The sequence below is a fragment of the Homo sapiens genome, chromosome 4 (assembly GCF_000001405.40).
Source record: "Homo sapiens chromosome 4, GRCh38.p14 Primary Assembly".
In the NCBI taxonomy this organism is placed as follows: domain Eukaryota; kingdom Metazoa; phylum Chordata; class Mammalia; order Primates; family Hominidae; genus Homo; species Homo sapiens.
The window spans coordinates 141,556,658-141,579,033 of record NC_000004.12 but is presented as its reverse complement, the minus strand read 5'-3'; the positions used below and the strand labels follow the sequence as shown (position 1 = coordinate 141,579,033).

Below are 22,376 nucleotides of genomic sequence, written 5' to 3'. Positions count from 1 at the left end.
TTATGAAATACAGCTGCTCTTTCCCAAGTGATCCTCATGTGTGGTATTATTAGAATTATGTATTAGACATTTCTGCTTAATGAATTTTCACTGGCATATCTGAAATTATGTGAAGATGAATGTCTCGTTTATATTTCAATTTGATGCCTCTAATTAATTTTTACTCTATATTGATATATATTTGTTGAATGTTTAATTTGTTGGCAGAAATTGCTAAAACATCTAGAGTCACATTAAAAACTTCTGGAACCTGAAGTACTTGGGACATCATATCAAATCAATTTAAATACTTTTTGGAGAAAGTCTGTCTCTTTATTTAATAGATAATGTCCTTGATTTTGTATTTGAAGTCTTTATAATGTAACAATTGGGAACACATATTCCAGCCAAACAGCTGGGGCAAAATTCCTTTCTTTGCTATTTATTAGCTGTGTAACCTTAAGGATGTTGCTCTACTTCCCTTTATTTTTCTTTAAGATGAGGATAACACCACCTCATTTTCTAGGAGTGTTTTTGAGATTTAGATGACATGGGAGAGGCTTTACATGGTGTATTACTCAGGGTCCTTGAGGGAAACTAAACCAGTATGTTACACATTTATTTATTATGAGAATTGGCTCATACAATTATAGAGGCTGAAAGGTCCCACAGTCTGTTATCTGCATGCTAGAAAATGAGGGAAGTTGGTGGTGTAATTTAATCATAGTTCAAAGATCTAAGAACCTCAGAGGTGGTGGGACAACAATGATGTATGTCCCTAACCATGCCCAGCGACCTGAGAACAAGGACCATCAATGTCTGAGGGCAGAAAAAGATGGATGTCCTCATTCTCCACATGCTTGTTCTACTTGGGCCCTCGGTGGACTGGATGATGTCCACCCACATAGATAGGGGCAGATCTTCATTAATAAGTCTACTGCTTCAAATGCTAATTTCTTCTGAAAAGACCCTCACTGACACCCAGAAATAGTGTTTAACTGCCTGAGTATCCCTTAGCCCAGTCTAGTCGACACATAAAATTAAACATCACACATAGTTTTGAGCAAAAGAGTGAAATGATAAGATACATGTTCTTGAAATATCTCTCCAACTTCTACATTGACAGCAGACTATCGAGGGTCAACAGTAGAAGCCAGAAGACTTGTTAAGAAGCTATGGAAGTAATCCAGGTGAGAAATGTTGATGACCTGAATCATGACAGCAGTAGAGGTGTTAAGAAATTTTGGATCCTGATTATGTTTTTAAGCTAAATGCAAGATTTGCTGAGAAAAATAGAAGAATCAAGAATAAATCCAAGTTTCTTTGGACTGGACAGCTGGAAGGATGGTTTTACTGTTAAATGAGCTAGTGAATGGAGCAGGTTTGAGATAAGGCCAAGAAAAGGAGTTCTGTCTGAACATGTTGAGTTTCAGATGACTATTGGACATCAAGGTGGAAATGTTAAGTACTTAGATATGATATGAAGTTCAGAAGAGGAACTTGTGTTAGATATACGAATTTATGGGTCATTAACATAGAGGTTATATATAAAGCCAGAGAGTCACTGATAGAGAGTGGAAGAGAACAAGGACTGACTAACCTGCAGCACTTCAAATGTAAAAGTGCAGAAAAGAAGCGTAACTAAGAAAAGAGATTGAGAAGGAATGACCTGTGATTCAGGAAAAAAAAAATTACAGATGTGTTGAGCTAGAATCAAGAATAGAAAATGTTTCCAGGAGAGGGGAGAGAACTACGTGTCAGATCTACTGAAAGCTCCAATAAAAAGGAAACTAATTGATCATTCGGTTTAATGATGTGGAGGTCAGTGGCAACTGAGTTCATTTTGGTTCCCATAGCAGCAGATTCTAAACAAGAATTTGAGAGGAAGGAGCTTGTTTGAGAGGTGTAGGAACAGCAATAGTAGATTCAAAAAATGATATAAGGAAGGCAGCCCATAAGTGTATGTCATTAAGCCATAGTTGACAACTGGAGCTTATTCCTACAAGACTCTAAGAAATGGCATAAAACACAATTCAGAGTTGTTCCACACAAAGAGCAAGGGAGAGGTGGTATTTTATATTGACGAATTTAGTTGGCACTGCTGGGGAAGGGTGTGGGCGGTGTTAATTCCGTGATATTTACAGCTCTTTCCTTGCATGAATGTGACTTTCTGAGAATCTGGAAAGAGCTCTCAGGCAGCGATACTGATCCTCGTACTTTTCAAGTTGAGCTGGAGCACAGTGGATGGTTAAGATCTGAAGGGAATGAGTGGGGCACTACCGCAACTTTGACAAGAACGCTCTTGCTGGAATGGTGACTATGGGGAAAGTCAGACTGGAGTGTGCTTGAGAGTGGCAGGAGAGGAATCAAAAACACAAGTTAAAAACAACTCTTTCAAGAGTTATTCTACCAAAAATGAGCAGAGAAAGTGCGGCAGCTCATGGAGAGGTTGGGCTGAGAGAAGCTTTAAAAAAGTGATAGCAATCGTAACATTTTAACTGATGACATTGCTCTAGTAGAAAGCAAGAAACATGGTTTAGAGACGAGTGAGAATTACAGCAGTGATGCCTTGAGTAAAACAGAATGGATTCTGACCCACAAATGAAGAAATTGGCTTTAGGCAGGAGCAGACAGGGAGGTAGAAGAAGAGAGTGCAGATGTCTGCAGGTGTGTCCCTTGGGGGAAGAATTCTGCAGAGCTCATCTGATTGCTTCATTTTTCTTAGTGAAACAGAGAGCAAGGCCATCAGCTGAGAGTAAAGGTGGATGAAGCAGTATTTGGAGTTTCAGGAGAAAGAAAGTACAACACAGTGAAAATTTTATTTTCAACGTAATATTTTATTTCTAAAATAGTGAAAGATCTGGCAGATAAAGGGCCCATTTGTGATTCATGGTTATGAGCTGTAAAGTAAAATATTTCAACATGATTACATGTTTGTTTGTTGGTTTATTTCCAGCCGTGATCAGCTGCCAAAACAAAGGAATAGAAATGGAAGAGTTAGAGGCAGTGTTATGCTAGAGCTGTCCCTTAGCGAGCTGATTTTAAAGCTTGAAATCGGCCATGGTGAGTATTCATACCAGAGAAATAGGTAAATGCTACAGATCAGGGATTTTTTTTTTTTTTAATAACAGCACACCAGTACAGTACTGCCTACAGGTTACACACAAAGCCTATTCTGTGCTTTCTCTTCATTCCATCTTTATGAAAAATCTTCTTAAAGGATTAATACTCAAGGGTGGAAAGGTGGAGACAGTTTATGTTCACTAACTGACTTCTATTAACTTATGCACAACCAAAATCATCAAAATTTTTATATAAAATCTTTATATCTTAAAATTTGATATATTAGGTCCTAATCCCTGGAACCTTTATGGGCAGATGCAGGAACAAAGGAATATTTACACAAATATTTCTAGCAAGAAATGTCATTCCACAGTAGAAATAAAAAATAACGAGATATCCTGGTGAACCTTTTGTTTTATTTTACCACTCCATAATCTTCTCACTCTCCTAATCAGTCAGCATTCCCTAAGGATGCTCCTAAGCAGGGGATCTTACTATATGATTGCTACATATCTCAGTGCTTTGCAATTTAAAAATAACTCCCACTGAAGAACGCATGCAGTAAAGCAAGGAAGAAGGTTGATATTATTATAGGAATAACCTGAAAACTACTCCACTCTTCAATGCAAATGATTTGTATACTCTAGTAGTTTTATTATGAATGATTTACTATATCCCAAATCAAAGGTATGTCCACTGGAGCTGAGGATCTTTGCTGTAGTATATAGCTTTTCATGTCAAGGTCATCAGTGTGAGCTATTACAATGCCTTGAAGGAGCTTTTGTGCTTTGAAAGGATTATGCCCAATTACTTAATTTTTTAATTAATATAACTTTATTAAAGTTGTAATTATAAAGGAAACAAGCTTCTCTTAAGCTTTTAACTAACAAATCTTATTCTACTATTTATAAAAACTAATAAACAAGAATTATTTTCTCTTTTTCTTTGGTGAATGTTCAATTAATTCAAGTTGAATAGACTAAATTACTTTAAATAATCCCATTGACAAATTTAGTAAATTACACTTTCTAAAATATGTGGGACTATACTTAGATATTTAATATGTTTGTTTTTTTAAGCATTTAAAAAACTCTCTGACAACTCAAATTCAAAGCCCTAACAAGAAAAATCCAGTTTTGCATTTAAAATAGTCTTGCAAATATCATAAACTTTAAAATAGATCGTATCTCAAATTTTCATGTTTTCACAAACTTAGTAAAATTTTCAGGTATATTTTTAGCTTAAAAGCACAATTCCAGAACCCATGACAGTTTTTATTATATGTTCAGATCCTTTTATATACCAAATTCTTTTTTTATTCTTTATGTTTTTTAGAGAGACAAGGTCTTGCTATGTTCGCCAGGTTGGTCTGGAACTCTTGGCCTTAACCAATCCTCCCTCTTTGGCCTCCCAAAGTGCCAGGATTACAGGTGTGAGCCACTGTGCCTGGCCTAATATACCAGATTTTATTAAACATTACAAATTCATTAAATACCACATATATTAAACAGTCCCTATAATTTAAAAGTTTATTCCAGACCTTTAACTAAAAGTATAAATGATGTTGGGTTCATATATTTCATGATCTCTGAATTGAATTTAAATTTTTCTGTGATTGATAAAATACTCATCAAGGGAAGCAAATTTACCATTTCTGGGGAAGTGAGGATGACAATTCATGATAATGATGTGATTACCTAAGAGTTAGAGCCCAGGAACAAACCCAAGGGCCATATACATACAGAGTGAAAATTTGAACCTTAAATGGACACGTTTAGTCCTTCTTTATATTCACTATAAGGTAAAGGTCTTTAAATCCACATTCATATTCACTTCTTTCACCTGGTTTCTGTTGACTAAAGTCTGTATCCTCTGTGGTTTTACCTAACTTTTTTCAGCTAACTTACTAAGTTTAATCTGAATTAAATTGTATAATATTTCCAATTTTGGCAGTATGTGTAACTAGAGATATTAAGTTATATTAATGGCTTTATCTTGTCTATGTGTCCATTTATTCTCATTCCATAGACTCCTTGTTATCTTCCATATTTTGGTGTCCTTCTTTTTTTTTTTTTTTTGAGACAGAGTCTCACTGTCACTCAGCAGTGCAGTGGTGCAATCATAGCTCACTGAAGCCTGGAGCTCCCAGGCTCAGATGATCCTCTCACCTCAGCCTCCCAAATAGCTGGGACTACAGGTATGCATCATCATGGCTGGCTGTTTTTTCTGTATATTTTGTAGAGACAGTCTCACTATGTTGCCCAAGCTGGTCTTGAACTTCTAGACCCAAGTGTTCCACCCTCCCCAGCAGCCCAAAATGCTGGGAATACAGGCATGAGCCACTATGCCCAGCCAATGGTCTCATATTTTGAATACAACTTTATTGTCAGCCAATACCAAAGCTCAATGTTGAATATATGTCAGAGAGATGGCCTTGTAAACCCAAATTTTATCATTTTATTTGCCTATCTTTAGTACCTCATGTAAATGGAATCATATAATATTTGTCCTTTTGTGTCTGACTTATTTCACTTAGTATAATGTTCCAGTGTTCATCCATGTTGTAGTATGTATCATACTTCCGTTGATTTTCAAGGCTGAATAGTATTCCACTGTGTGTATATAGCACATTTTCTTTATGCATTCATCTGTTGATGGACGTTTGGATTGTTTCCATCTTTTAGCTATTGTGATTAACACTGCTATGAACACCAATGGACAAGTACCTGTTTGAATGCCTGCTTTTAATACTTTTAAATATATACCCAGAAGCAGAATTTCTGAATCACATGGTAATTCTACGTTTAACTTTTTGAGGAATTGCCATACTCTTTTCCACAGAGGCTGCACCATTTTATATTTCCACTAGCAGTGCAAAAGGGTTCCAACTGTTCCACATCTCTGCCAACACTGGCTGTTTTCAGTTTTTCTGGGATTTTATTTCTTTATTTGTTTCATGATAGTCATCCTAATGGGTGTAAAGTGGTGTCTCATTGTGGTTTTAAATTGCATTTCCCTACTGATTAGTGATGTTGAGTATATTTTCACTTGCTTCAGTTGTATTTGACATAAAACTGGGCATGGTGTATGGAAGAGCATGGAAGCTGTATTCAGGTACACTAGGTTAGAATTTCAAGTCAAATAAGTACCACTATATGAATCAGAATAATTTATTTAAAGTTTGAGCTTCAGTGTGCTCATTTAGAAAGTGAGGGAAAAAATACTGATTTTGCAGTGTTTAAGGTACACGTTCAAATGATGATATTATTAATATTCTAAAATAAGAAAATCAATTAATGTTTAATTTCAAGATACTAGATGTGTTGGCAAAATTCCAAGTGAGAGTTCAGTGTTTCTAGTAGTGAAGAAATTCTCTACTTCCCAAGTCATTTAACATCACATTAAAAGAGAAATGAAGATAGTCCTTAAAATAATAAGACTACTGATCATAAACTTGTATTTTAACGTATAAAAGTTACAGTGAAAAAAAATTTAATGTCTTTTAAAAAATAAAACACAGCCCACATTTTTCCCCCTCTTCTTTACTCCCAAATCCTTTTGCATGGTTAAAGATTTAAGTTAAATAACAGAAGAAATTCTAAATTTCTTGTAATGGAGGGGTTTGAAGAAACAATTAAATCTTCAGCTACCAGCAGACATTTTTCAGTAACAGACAAAGGTGATATTTTGTTTAACAGAGACAGAGAATTAGGTTTAGTGGTGCTTTTGGGGAAGAGTGATAGATCTAACTCCCCTATCTAAGTGAGAACCATTATTTTGAATAAATACTTCCATGTCAGAGAAAATGGAGACCAAGACCCTGTAATATAGACAAAAGAAAGGGAGGACGGACACAGGACTGCCCACTCCTTTTCAAGCAGAAATCTGTTACAAATGAAAGCAGTATTTATTAAAACATTTATTTTCTGACTTTCTGCCAAGTTATATCAAGTAGATATGGAGGACGATCTGAGAAGTAATCCGGCTTGCAGCCATTAATCACACGTCACTGCTTCACCTTGGGTGTTTAAGAACTCCCCTTTTGCCGAAGCAATGGATGACTATGCAGAGATTCATGTTATGACTTTTAAAACAAGAGTCTCAGATATAAAAATCTTGTACTCATAACATACTGAACACGCAAGACTTCCACTGAACTATTTCTTGAATAAATTAAAACATATTTGTCAGCTTATTTGATTAGTGCCTATACCGACATCTCTTGAGAAAAATGAGTGAGTTTTCATGGCTCCCATTGAAACGCTTAGGTTAATGATTATGGTAATCTTTTCTTGTACCTCCAGAATGAAAAGCACACAAAGTGGAAACAATCATTTTTTATAAAAATGACTCAGACCTGGGGTTGAATCCTTGCACTAGCACTTAATATCTGTGGGTGGCCTATGCCAAGTTACTTAATCTCAGTGAGCTTCAGTTTTCTCATTGCTGTGATGGGGATAACATTACCAGCCTCACAGGACTGGTGGCATCATGAAATGTGATGTTGGTGAATGCATCTGGCACAGTGCCAGACTAGCAGATATTCAAAATAACTTTGTTTCTATCTTTTCTTTTAACTGTTGTATTTATTTTTCTTAATTATAAACTTTCCATGAATGTACGACTCATCTCTCCAACTTTATATATAAGCTTCTCAAGGGTAGAAAAATTGTATCTCCTTTTTCTTCTATATGAATATAGGGCACTACACATAGTAATCAATATGGTATGTCTTTTTTCCTAATTATAAAAATAATATATTTTCACTTTAGCTGATTTAGAAAGTACTGAGACTGTAAAGAAAAGTATTTTAAATTGCCCATAATACACCATAGAGAGAGCCACTCATAACTCTTTTTGACATATTTCCTGCTAGTATTTTCCCTGTGTGTGTTTTTAATAATTAGGATCATGCAGTACTAAGAGATTTGTGGTGTGTTTAACTTTATACAATGAACATTTCTCATATCAGTATTTTTTAATGTGAATTTTAAAAGCTGCATAATAGTCCATCGGCTGAATGTTCATGTTTTATTTTTTCACACCACTACTTTTGCACATATTTCCAAATTTCCACTATTATAATTAATAATTCATAAAATGAAAGTGCACATGAATCTTTGTGAAAATTTCTTGTGATTACATTAAAAAATTCCATTCAGTGGAATTAAAAGATTAAACGTAGAATACTTTTTAAAGGACTCACCCTTTTTACCCCCAAATTAATATAACTTTATGATTTTTACTTATTTATAAAGGAGTCCTAATACAGTATTTAAGCATTACAAATATTATTCCTGTGGAAAACCACTATATCTCTTGTTTATTGCTGTATTCCCTGTGACTTGCACATTATAGCAGCCCCAGAGATATTTGTAAAGTTAACCTGAATTACCTTAAAACCTTGGCACTATTGACATTTTGTCATGGATAATTGTAGAATGGTTAGCCACATCTCTGAATTTTCCCTGCCTGAAGCCAGTAGCACTTCCTCAATTGTGACAATCAAAAATGTCCTCAGTATTGCCATATGTCCCCTGAGGGGAAAAAAGCTTTCCCTTACACACAGCTACTGAGAAATATTGCCTTACAAACTAAATGCAAAACATCAGCAATTTCACTAGCTGTAAATACAATCTTTAACATTGTGGTGCATATCACTTGTCTATGAATTTTCACATCTATATTAATTTTTAAATAGGAACATAATATTTATACACTTTTATAGCATGTTGTTTATGTTTAATTACTTAAAGTATCTTGGGTTTCCATCTCTAGCAATGATAAAGATTTCTTTCATTCTCTTTAATGGCTGAATAGTGTTCCATTGTGTGGAGGCACCAAAATTTCTATAACCAATCCCTATTGATATATATTCTGGTTGTTCTGAATTTCTTTACTATTATAGAAACTATGTCAGTTAAATACAAATATATATTTGTATATACATATATACATATAAAAACACAATACATTCATCTTTAAATTCTCATCCACTTTCTTCATTAGGATAAATTCCCAGAAGTGGAAGACATTGCCAAGTTTTTCTTCAGAAAGATGGTACCAATTTATAGTTACAGAATTAAATTTAAGAATATGCGAACTGTTCCAATTTTTATTTGCTTTTCTAATTTAATTTGAGAAGGTACAGATTCCCCCATACCCTTGTCATGCCTGATCTTATCAGTGTTTTACTTTTTTTCAGATATTTTATAAGAAATAAGTATTTTCATCTTAACTTATATTTCTTTGATTACTAGTGAAGTTGTGTATCTTTTCATATATTTTGAGGACAACTGGCATATCATCATATGTTAATTGCCACTTCTTATGCTTTGCCAGTTCTTTTGGGGGGTGTTATTCATTTATTTTCTTAAATATTTGTAAAGGCTTTTCATATGTTAGACGAAAATAAAAGAGAAGAAAGAGTAGTAAAGTTATTGGCTGAGCGAGTCAATAGCAAATTAGGGGTCTTTAAAATATAGATATTCTAAATCAGTGATTCTTAAAGTGTTTGCTATGGACCTTTGGGAGATCTGGAAGATTAACGGCAGTTTCATACTAATACCAAATGTTACTGTCTATTTATCTTTTTACTCTCATTCTCTCATAAGTGTACAGTGGAGTTTTTTAAAGGGTAAATGACGTGGTGACTTTATTTTTCTACTAACTAATGGAATGTGTGACTTTATATTCAGGAATTTGTAGAATTCTCTAAGATAATAGCTTTAGAATGTGTGCATATATATGCATTTTGAGATATTAATTTATATTTATCTCAGTATTTCTAATGTGCCCTTTTTAGTTATCTTTTTTACATCTTTTATAATCTTTTACTTCATTATTGTCCAAAATATAATTATTTTGAAATCCTGAAATTTTCCTTATATTTCTATAGAAACCCAAAACAAAATAAGTGTACATTGTGTTCTTGTTTAGTATTGATATTTTAATTGTTTGAAAATTTTTCTAATTTTTAAAAATTTCCCTAATACTATTATTTTAGTTAAGTAATATTATTCTAAAGTAAGTATAATTGACTTATACTATTTTTTCTTGTATTTAAGGATGAATTCTTGGCCTGAAAAAGGGGAATCAAAAGACGTGCTTTCCTGTGCTTCAGCTGCAATGTCTATTTCTCAAGACGCTGAAAAAGATGATTTAGAGTTTTATGATTAATGGAAGGGAGGAATCTACTCTAAAGAAATTGGATAATACTATAAATAAGAAATAAAAATTATTTGACAAAAGCTATCTTCCCCTTAGGGATTATATGTACTACTGATTTACCTTACTGTATCTTATTCAACAGAACGTTTTCAAATAGTATCATATTGCCAGTTACATTGTGGTATCATTTTGAGACAAATCATTTGGGGTTATTAATATAAAGAATTGGACAGTTTAAATGTAGATGTGATAAGCTATTTTAAAATTCAAAATTGTTACAGCTTTTCAACTCAAAATGAAGAAGCCAATGACGCATCTTACAGAATAACTTATATACTGCATTGGCTAGAGAAGCACATACAATAGCTGAGAGACTAATAAAGCCTTATATGGTTGACATTGTTAATACCTACTGGTGAAAAGTTAGTAAAGTAAATCATGACACTGACACTTTCCAATGACACAGTAACTTGCCACATTAAAGATTTAGCTGCAATCATGGAAGCTGAGTTAATATCTGCAGAGTTGTACTTTTGCCTTGCGAAATCTACAGGCTTGGCTTTATTTGCTGTTTTACCTGTATTCATACAGAATCAGTACCAACCAATCATAGAAGTTTTCCTGTTTGAATTATTGACAACAAGTGCAAATGGTGATGAAATATTCCATGTGCTTATGTTGATCACCTCCTTTTCAGTTGTTGATGAGGGAGCAATTCTCATCCTAAGGTTATGGAGATGACCAAACATACAACACCCAACACTGAACAGATGAGATCGACCACGGTATATTAGTCACACATACTCACAGCCTGGAGTAGGAGCACACCGCACCATGTTAGGGCCACATGAGGGTAACACTTGGGAAGAGAGTGAACAAATAAAGGGTTGTCGGGGGGCAGGCTTTGGTAGTATCAAGAAGGTGGGGCACCCCTGGTTCCCAAGGGAAGATGCCATTGTCTTATTTAAATAATTCCATAGTTTGGCAGGGATCTGAAAGCTACCACTCAGGATAAGCCGGAATTACATTCATTTGATTTGATAAGGATTACTTGGCTAAGGCACCTTATCTGTAGGATCAGAATGGGGAGGGAAACTTGCAGCTAGGCCATTGTTTAGGCACCAAACTGTAACAGTAGTCACTGCAATTTTTCCTGCTGTACTCTCACAGAAAAAAAAAAAAAGTCGCTTTCACTTAAGAATGCCCTTGATGTCCTTGATGAAACAGTAAACATTATTCTTTTCATTAAATATCAACCATTGAGTAAACATCTTTCGAATATATTTTGTATAAGGAAATGGAAAGTACAAATAAAACACTTCTATACACTGAAGTACAATGGCTGTCTCCAGGAGGAGCACTTGTGATCATTCAAGTTGCGAACTGATCATGCTGCTTTTTAATGGAACACTACTTTTATTGAAAAAATGAATGACAGATAAACTCAGGTTATTCATACTTAGGTATTTGGAAGACATCTTATCCTTCAAAGAAAACAACAGACAGTATTTATTGGCAATGATAAAATTTGAGCTTACAAGTGAAAATTTAAATTGTTAGAAAACTTGTGTCTGTTCCTATGAACTTGACAGTTGCCCAATACTTAGTAACTTTTCTGATGAGGTCAGTAGTGATATTGAATAATATGATTATTTGATGTATAATGGAATATATCATTTGGAAAATATTCATAACTCACTGAACTGATATTTTCCAAATGTACACAGTTACGAAAGCATGTAAGAGTAAATGGCTGATTAAAAGTGCTAGTTAGACAATGGATTTTAATGTAATAGAGTGTAAAAAGCTCGTTGGTATGTTGTCAAATTCCACACTAATCTTTTAGAAACTAATATTGGTCAAGTTTTACTGTAGTATCAGAGAAGAATATTCTCAATTACACTTAGGTGCTGCATAACAACCACATTTGTGATGGACCGCATACCAGAATGGTCTCATAAGATTATAATAGAGCTGCAAAATTTATATTGCCTAGTGATATCGTAGCTATTATAATGTGGTAAGGTAAGGGATTACTTACATATTTGTGGTGATGCTGCTGTAAACAAACCTATTCCTCTAGAAGAGTCTCAGTCAGGTCCTTCAGAAGGTATCCAGAACAAGGCATTGTTATCACAGGAGATGACAGGTCCTTGAATGTTATTGTCCCTGAAGAACTTCCCATGGGACAAGATGCAGAGGTGGAAAGCAGCGACATTAATTATTTTGACCCTGTGTAGGCTGTTGGTTATTGTCAGTAGGTTATTGTTACTGAAATCAGCCTCCCCAATAACTTGAGGGCTAAGGTTTTTCAAAGATAGTTCAGGGGAGGGGGTGAGGGTGGCTAGGCAATGGGTGCTTGCTGCTGATTTTGGGGGGTTGTAATCATATAGAATGGGAAATTGTCCTCATGTGCACTGAGTCACTTCTGGGTGCAGCCACAGGAGAGGATGGCAGGTCTAGGTGGAGCCATTGGTCTTCAGGCATGCAAAAACCCTGTGAAAGGCCAATCTTAGGTTCTACAATAGTGATGTTATCTGCAGGAGTATTTGGAGAAGTTGCATATCTTGTAACCTCTGGAACTGTGGCTGGCAATCCTTTATTGTGTATAACCTAGCAGAGTTCAGGCTCCTCTATCCTCCTAGCATGGTGGTCTCTCATTAGCTTTCAAAGGTGGTTGAATTTTAGAGAAGGGCTACTACCACTTAAACTATCAACTAAATGTCTCCTAAAGTTAGCTTGGCCTAGGCCTAGGAATAATTAAGGGCAGACTGAAGATCAAAGGCAAGAAGGGGGTTGGCCAGATCAGATCTTCTTCACTGATATAATTTTCTCACTGTTATAATTTTTGCAAAGGTAGTTTCAGCCTAAGTGTACACTGTTTATAAAGTCTACAGTAATGTCCCAAGCTTTCACATTCATTCACTAATCTCTCACTGACTCATTCAGAGCAACTTACTCTCCTGCAAGCTTCATTCATGGTAAGTTCCCTACACAGGTGTAGCATTTTTTATCTTTTATGCCATATTTTTGCTGTACATTTTCTATGTTTAGATACACTAATACCATTGTGTTACAACTTCCTACAGTATTTAGTACAGTACATGCTGTACAGGTTTGTAGCCCTAGGAGCAATAGGCTATGCCATATAGTCTAGGTGTGTAGTAAGCTAAACCATCTAAGTTTGTGTGAGTACACTATAATATTTGCACAAGGATGAAATTGCTGAATCACGCATTTCTCAGAAAGAATTCCCGTCCTTAAGCAACTCATGACCTGGAAACGCTGTTAAAAAAACTTACTCCTCTTCCAATTACACATCTGTGTGAAGCTAGTTTTTCTTTGTCCACTCAACCAAAACAACATATTAAAGCAGAGTGGATGTAGAAGCAGTCATGAGGATTCAGCTACATTTTATTAGGTAGACCTTCTGTGTTTGTGCTTTTTTTTTTTTTTTTTTTTTTGAGATGGAGTCTTGCTCTGTCGCCCGGGCTGGAGTGCAGTTACGTGATCTCGGCTCACTGCAGCCCCTGCCTCCTGGGTTCAAGTGTTTCTCCTGCCTCAGCCTCCCGAGTATCTGGGATTACAGGCGCCCGCCACCGCGCCCAGCTAATTTTTGGTAGAGACGGGGTTTCACCCCATTGGCCAGGCTGGTCTCCAACTCCTTACCTCGTGATCCAGCCGCCTCGGCCTTCCAAAGTGTTGGGATTACAGGCGTGAGCCACCGTGCCCAGCCTGTGTCTGTGTTTTAACACACAATTTTGTTTACATCCTCCCAAAGTGTCTGTCCTTACATTTGCAAATTTATTCTTTCTTTCATTTGCTGTATATAATAAGTTGACAAGTTGTTCAGTCCTATTACTTATATTTCTGTAGAAACTGAGTCTATTTTATTTCAGTCTATATAGCTTACTACCCTAGTTCAGGTCATCATAATCTTTCACTTGAATTATTAGTAAAGTCTCCTTATAGATATCAATGATTCAGTTAGAAATCTCAGTCAGAGATTTCCAAAAATGTAAAACTCATTCTGAATTCTCAAATTCCATAAATGTAAAACAATTTCACTAAATTTAGTTATCCTTGGAATCTTTTTCATAAAATATATTATTTGTGTTAACATATTAAGGAATTTAATATTGATATTGAAAATAAATATTTTTAAATTTCTCAATTTGAATTTCAAATATGATAAATATCAATGGATATAACCCATATAAATACAAGTTCTTTGGGATTCTTAGTAATTATTACAAGTATAAAAGGGTCCTGAGACCTAAAAGTTTGAGATCCACGATTTTAAAGAATATTTTTGTCAAGGAAAATGAAATATAAGTTTGGAGACCTTCTATAGTTTATATATTTTCCATTAGTCTATGTAATTTCTTATGGAGAAAACCTGTGTTCACTGAGTAAAAGTTAGAATGACTTTTCTAAAGGGAAATAGCTAATATGTTTAAACATGTTCAGTTCTTGCTTTGTTTAATCCAGAAATGCCCTTTTAAGAGCTTATGATAAATAAAAGAGGGCAAGTGCAAAATTTTTAAGTTTGTTCAAATATACATATAAATTTAAAACACTGTTCATAAGTGGAAAAAAGTGGAAGTGACTTAAATGTTCATCAATGAGTATGTTATTAAGATTTTTCTCTTGATTCTCTTTTTTTTCTCCCTATATTACCATAACCACATTTCAAATGACTTTCAAACTAATAAATTTAGTCCAAATTCTTAGTATTTCCAATATCTTGGGGAATTTTCTACTTGAATATGGAATGAATGTTGAAGATACTACCAGTATCTCAAAGTCAACATCCCAAAAGCCAGATGTATCTGTTGAACCATATAAAATTGCCAATACCAATTGTTTTTGCATCACAAAAACTGGAATTTTACATGACTCACCCTAATAAAATGTGACATCATCCTCCCAAAGCTTCCATCCTTACATTTAAAATTTCATTATTTCATTCTTTCATTTGCTGTGTTTAATAAGTTGACAAGTTGTTCAGTCCTATTGCTTATGCTTCTATAGAATCTGTGTCTCTAATTTATTTCAGTCCATACAACTACTACCTTAGTTCAGGTCATCATAATCTTTCACTTGAATTATTGGTAAAATCTCCTTATGGGTCGCAATGACTCAGTCAGAAAAATTGTGTACCTACTCCATTCTAGGTCCTTGGTTAAGGGGATGAAGGTGCAAAGATGAGTGGAACATGAATAAACTCCACGGGATTCAGGCTCCAGTGGACCAAGAAAAATGGACCTACAATCTAATATTCACAATAATAACACAAAGACTTCAGAGCAACTGAAGTCAAACATAGTGAAAGAAGTAAAGTATGTCTTCTGTATGCAAATGGAAATCTTTTAATGATTATTTCCCTTCATTCTTTTTTTTTTTTTTTTCATTTTAAACTTATTTACCTTCTACTCTGAGCCAGACATTGTGGTCAAGCCTGGTGATACAGTGGTGAAAAAAACAGTTAAGGCCTCCCCTCATGAATCTCACAGAGTAAAGAAGAAGGCCATTAACAGTAGCATCACATATATAAACATATAATTACAAGCAATGGTGGAAGTTTTAAGGGAATTAAAAGTAATGGCAAAAAAAATGCAATTACTTTTACACCAACCTATATATGGGGTATACGTGGACATAATTGAGATTGGGAGAAAATGAAAAGTGTTCATGAGGAAGTGACATTTAAGCCAAGACTTACAGATAAGTAGATTAAGCAAGAAAAGAGAACAGTCGAGGTATTCCCAGCAAAAAGAACAGCTTGAACAATACAATGTGTAAGAGAGAAGTGGGCATATTTGTGTGACTACAAAGCATATGTCGGGTGAGATAATATACATTAAAGCATGTTACAAACCATAAAGCCCTAAGTTATGTTAATTATTACTGGCAACACTATTCACAAAGACAACAATAACCACTGATCTCATGTATCTCATGAATAATGTTACTTGATACCTATCATGACTCAAGAAGCACTAAGATTTGAATATGGTGCCCTATTACTTTTCCTCTGAAGTGTCTACGAAAGGGAATTTTATAATCTCTGTGATGTACAATTTCTTGTTCACACTAGAGAAATGGAAACATAAATGAGTTATCTTTCTCATTAAAGTAAGTCAGCCACCAAAACCTATCAATTATAGAACAAAAATAGTATTTAAATCCACCCATGCTTCTCTGTTTTCACCTATATTACCCGAATTCAAGCAATAAATTCAGCTGTGGACTTTACAAGTCCCTAGAAGGACTTTAGAACCTCCTTTTAGCTTCTGAAAAGGGAGTAAAGCCCCTTTACTCCCAGCCACCAACCACAGTATACTTGATCATGAGAGTTATAGCTGTGAAACAAATTTCATTATGTTACTTCCTTACTTAAAAATCGACAGATTAAAGAGCATAACTGTATTTGTTGATGCTTTTTATACATGAAACCCCTAATACATCATACATCGGTGAAGCATTCTAGGTTTGTATTGCACAAGTAAATGAGATGAGGAGAAAGAAGCTGAGGCCCTGGATTAAATATAGATGAAAACAAGTATGCATAGTACGTTAACCTGAGGCTAAATACGCAAAAGATTTGTCTTTGGACATTCAAATCTGATCTTAATGGGCAGTTATTTTCATTAAAAATAAACTAAAATAAACTGTATATTTATTTTTAACATTTATATCTCTTTAAAAATGCATAGCAACAACTTATTTAGAACATCTGTTTAATGATATAAAACAGGAGGTGTTTTTCTCATATTATCATCAAATTTGTACATGTGGCCTTTGTTAATAAAACACTTTGTCTTTCCCTATGCTCATCTTAGGAACACAAAAGATCAATCTTCAAACACTTTTCTGAACTTTCTTAAATGCCTTAATTCCATTCAGGATTCATGTGACTAAATGTAACAGCTATCTTTACAAAGATCTTGCAAGCATTTTAAACCCAACTTTACGCACGTAGCTAGCTGCTTTCATGTTGAAGTTGTTTCCAGAATATTATAGGAATTCGGCTTTGAATGGGGACAAACACCTTTCTAGTTCCACCTTGGTGCATTTAATTCACTTCCTAGAAAGAATCACAGAATGAAGGAACCTAATTTCCTGTACTTTGTTCTTCCTCTTTCCTGCAAACATGAACAGATATCCACTGATGTCCAACAAATACTTAATACTATTACCAATTTCTTTTGAAAAGGTTTAGTGGGGAAGCAAAAAAGGATGGAATAGAAATAGTAAAAATTCTCATATGGATTAAAGAAATTCAATTCCATCTCTAGAAATGTGTATTAGGAAACCTCACTCCGAGGAGAAGATGATGCAGAGATCTGAGAGCTTTCAAAATTAGTCTCACTGCTTAGATACAGAAAACAGGTAATATAGAAGCTTTCTTAAAGCTCTGTTGAAACCTTCACTTAACTTGTACATAGACCAGATAAACGGTTTCCATATTTTGGGCATGTAAAGCAAGACTGCTGCCAATAATACCAATAATCTTCATCATCATAATAATAAAAAACAAGATAGCCATGTCATAAAATCCACACTGTCTCCCTAACAGCTTGGCCTTCAGGTGTTATATGTCTTATCAATGGATTGAAAGAAACACTGCTATTCTTTGCTTCTAGAGCTTTGTCAAGCAATAAAAGATCAAATAATGTCTTTTGAAACTCTCGATAGCCCAAGATGGACAGTTAAAATAGTGTCTTGCTGCTAGATATTCCTATCAATACCTTTCATATCATTTTACTTCTCCTTACAAATCAAACTATGATTTGCCATAAACTGAACTGTAACCTGGGAATCCAGCTGTATTGTCAGCCCATATGTCATCAACTATCTCAAATAATAGCGTATCTGAACTCAGGGGGCAATTTTGTTGATATATGATACAGAATGGAACACAGCTTATTCTTTTGCTGCTATATTGACTTTGCTGTATGACAGTAGCAAGAACATGGCATATTTTATTTTTAATTTTCCTAAACAGCCAGGGCTTAGAAAGTACCGAAAACAAAAAGATGTAGCAATTTTCCTAACTATATTGTCACTTTAATATGCCACCAGAAATCGATTATAATTATGATAATAGTCTTATTATTTAATTTTTAAAGATTATATTTTAAATTATTTATTTATTGTATTATAAAGATATTTAAATTAGGGTTAATGAGTATATTCAAGTGGGCACTAGCTATTTAAGAAAATGAGTACTGAAGATTTATAAGCAGTCAGGTTGAGGGATGGATGCATTAAGTAGTCACTATGTTTTAAGTGTTTGCTATGCATTGCTTCATTCTGTTTTCGCACTAACCCTATGAAATAAGGGTTACTGGTGTCCCAACTGCATTCCCTTCCCTTTACCACTTCGGTATACACTGTCCAAATTACAATTGCCTGCAACTTTAACCCTTACCCAAGAGCTTTCTCTGGCTGCTGAATCCCACAGTACCAGCTTGTGTGGTTGACTAGTAGGCTAGCAGGGAATTACTGCAGACTTCTTCCAAAGACTGAGAAGAGTTGGTATTCCCCTCTTCTGCCTTTTCCACTGTGAGGTAACTCTACTACTGTACTGACTCACAAAATTCCCCCAGTGGATTAATTTCCAGGGCTTACATGTCAACTGCCCATTAAAACACATTTTATTGGCTACCTTTCTTTTTTTGTCTCACTTTCACTCATTCATACTGGTTTTTGTTGTTGTTGTTGTTACTTTTCATATAAAATACTTGCACTCAAATTCCTGTGTCGAAGTCAGCTTCTGAGAAAACTCAAAGTAAGACATCTCCATTTTACAGAAAGATAAGCTCAGGCTTAGAAAAATTAAATTAATTTCCTAAGTTCACACAGCTTCCCAGGATGCAGGCCCAAGGTATTATCTTCAAATCCCAACACCTAACCATTAGACATACTACTTCTATTTGGTAATGTAAAAGGTCTTCAACCTCAACTTCAACAATATACTCATAAGCACTAATTAATAACACTCTATTCACTCAGATATCTCATTTCTAAATAAAATTGAGAAGCATCATTAGGAAAACAAATATTATGAAAATAATCCAAGAAACAAATATTAAAAATATTTTTGAAAAATACTGGACAAAAAAATTTACTTGAATTTAAAATGTAGACAATTCTTTTTTAAGAATTAAGAAAATTGCCGATCATAATTCATGTTTTATCCTAAAGAAGTCCTAAATGAGAACTGGAATGTGCTCAGTATAGTAGCTAGTTCATAGTAGGCCCTCAACAAACTTGGATTCGTTTATTTTTTTCTCCTCCTCCAGCCCTGAAGCCTTCATGGTGAGGGGAATGAACAGTTTTCCCCTACTATGCATCAGAATCACAAGGAAGATTTTAAATAGAGAAACATAAAATAAACCCACTTGATCGTAGTGTATTATCTTTTTGATGTACTGTTAGATCCAGTTTGCTAGTATTTTGTTGAGAAGTTCTGTATCTATATACATCAGGGATATTGGGCTATAGTTTTCTTTTGTTGCTTTGTCCTTATCTGGCTTTGGTATCAGAATGATACTGGCTTCATGGAATGAGTTAGGTAGGATTCCTTTCTCTTCAATTTTTTGGAATAGTTTTTAGGAGGATGGGTACCAGTTCTTCTTTATAGGTTTGGTAGAATTTGGCTGTCAATCCACCTGGTTCTGGGATTTTTTGGGGGGCAGGGGTGATTGGTAGATTTTCTTTTTGCTGATTCAATCTCACTACTCATTATTAGTTTATTCAAGATTTCCATTTCTTCCCAGTTCAATCTTGGGAGGTTGCATGTTTCCAGGAATGTATCCAGCTCCCCTCTAGGTTTTCTAGCTTGTGTGTGTAGAGTTGTTCATAGTAGTCTCTCATGATCTTTTGTAGTATTAGTTGTGGTATCAGTTGTCATGTCTCCTCTTTCATTTCTTCTGATTGTGTTTGGATCTTCCTTCTCCTTTCTTTGGTTGGTCTAGCTAGAGGTTTATCAGTTTTGTTTTATGCCAGGGATACAAGGATATTTCAACCTTTGCAAATCAATAAACATGATTCATCACATAAACAGAAGTAAGAATTAAAACTATACAATCATCTCTATACATACAAAAAGAATTTGACAAAATTTAGCATTCTTTCATGATAAAAACCGTCAGCAGACTAAGCACAGAGAGAATATAAATCAAAATAATAAAGGCCATATACGACAAACCTACAGCCAACATCATATTGAATGGGGAAAAGTTGAAAGCAGTGCTCCTAAGAACTGTAACAAGACAAATATGTCTACTTTTACCACTCTTATTCAACATAGTACCCTAACCAGAGCAGTCAGGCAAGAGAAAGAAATAAAAGGCATCCAAATTGGAAAAGAGGAAGTTGAATTATCTCTGTTCACAGATGATATACTCTTATACCTAGAAAACCCTAAAGACTCCTTTAAAAACTCTTAGATTTGATAAGTATAGTAAAGTTTCAGGATATAAAATCAACATACCTAAATCCATAGCATTTCTATACACCAATAACCAAACAAGAACCAAGTTAAGAAGACAATCTCATTTATGATAGCTACAAAAATAATAAAACACCTAGGAATATATTTAAACAAGGAAGTAAAACATCTCAACAAGGAGAACTACAGAATGCTGATGAAATAAATTGTAGACGACACAAACAAATGGAGAAACATCTCATGCTCATGGATCAGAAGAATTAATATTGTTAAGATGACCATACCACCTAAAGCAATCTACAGATTCAATGTTATCCGCATCAATATACCAATGCCATTCTTAACGGAATTAGAAAAAAAAAATCCTAAAATTTATATGGAACCCAAAAAGAGCTCAAGTAGCTAAAGCAACTTTAGCAAAAGAATAAAGCTGGAGGCATCACATTACCTGACCTCAAATTATATCACAAGGCTATAATAACCAAAACAGGATGATACTGGTAAAAAAATAGTCACATAGATCAATGAAACAGGTTAGAGAACCCAGAAATAAAGCTGCATATCTACAGCCAACTGATCATTGACAAAGATGGCAAAAACATACACTGGGGAAAGGGCACCTTATTTACTAAATGGTACTGGGAAAATTGGATAGCCATATGCAGAAGAATGAAACTGGACTTCTATCTCTCACCATATACAAAAATCAACTGAAGATGGATTAAAGACTTAAATATAAGACCCGAAACTATATAAATATTGGAAGAAAAGTTAGGAAAAAATGCTTCTGGTCATGAATTCTAGGCAAAGAATTCACGACTAAGACCTCAAAGGCACAAGCAACAAAAACAAAATAGTCAAAATGGGACTTTAAACTAAAAAGCTTCTGCACTGCAAAAGGAATCATCAAGAGACAGCCTACAGAAAAGGAGAAAATATTTGAAAACTACATTTGACAGAGGACAGATACCCAGAATTTACAAGGAACTCAACAACAACAAAAATAAATAGCCCCATTAAAATGTAGAAAAATGACATGAATAGATATTTTTCAGAAGACATACAAATAGCCAAAAAGCATATAAAAAAGTGGTCAATATCACCAAGCATCAGATAAATGCAAATTAAAATGACAATGAAATATAACTGTCAGAATAGCTATTATTAAAAAGACAATAACAGATGTTGATGAGAATGCAGAGAAAAAGGAATGCTTATACACTATTAGTAGGAGTGTAAATTATTAATAGTATAAACTCTATGGAAAACAGTAGATAGAATTCTCAAATAACTAAAATGTAACTACTATTTGATCTAGCAACCCCACTACTGAGTATCTACCCAAAAGAAAATAAATCATTATATAAAAAAACCCTGCACTTATATGTTTATCACAGTGCTATTCACAACAGCGAATATTTGAAATCAACCGAAGTATTCATCATTGGAAAATGGACATATATATATGTCATATATATGTGTGTGTGTGTGTATCTGTGTGTGTGTATATATATATATATACACACACACATTCAAATACCACATATTCTCACTTGTAAAGGAGAGCTAAATAATGTGCATACATGGACATAGAGTGTGAAATAATACATATTGGAGACTTGGAAGGGTGGGAGGGTGTGAGGAGGAAGATGGATGAGAAATTACTTAATGGCTACAACGTACATTATTCAGATGGTGGTTA

At 34.5% G+C, this 22,376-nt stretch overlaps 1 long non-coding RNA gene across 3 annotated transcripts; it reads left to right on the top strand.

Annotated features, from left to right (window-relative positions):
* The first annotated feature begins 1,898 nt into the window (after positions 1–1,898).
* On the top strand, positions 1,899–10,296 carry LINC02276 (long intergenic non-protein coding RNA 2276). Of its 3 annotated transcripts, none has more exons than XR_939262.3 (4): positions 1,899–2,045; positions 2,936–3,042; positions 9,052–9,102; positions 10,110–10,296. It is a non-coding gene; the product is annotated as a long intergenic non-protein coding RNA 2276 (long non-coding RNA). The 3 variants fall into 3 exon arrangements; XR_939260.3 differs by lacking the exon at positions 1,899–2,045 and adding an exon at positions 2,148–2,292; XR_939261.3 differs by lacking the exons at positions 1,899–2,045; positions 9,052–9,102 and adding an exon at positions 2,148–2,292.
* Positions 10,297–22,376: the final 12,080 nt, after the last annotated feature.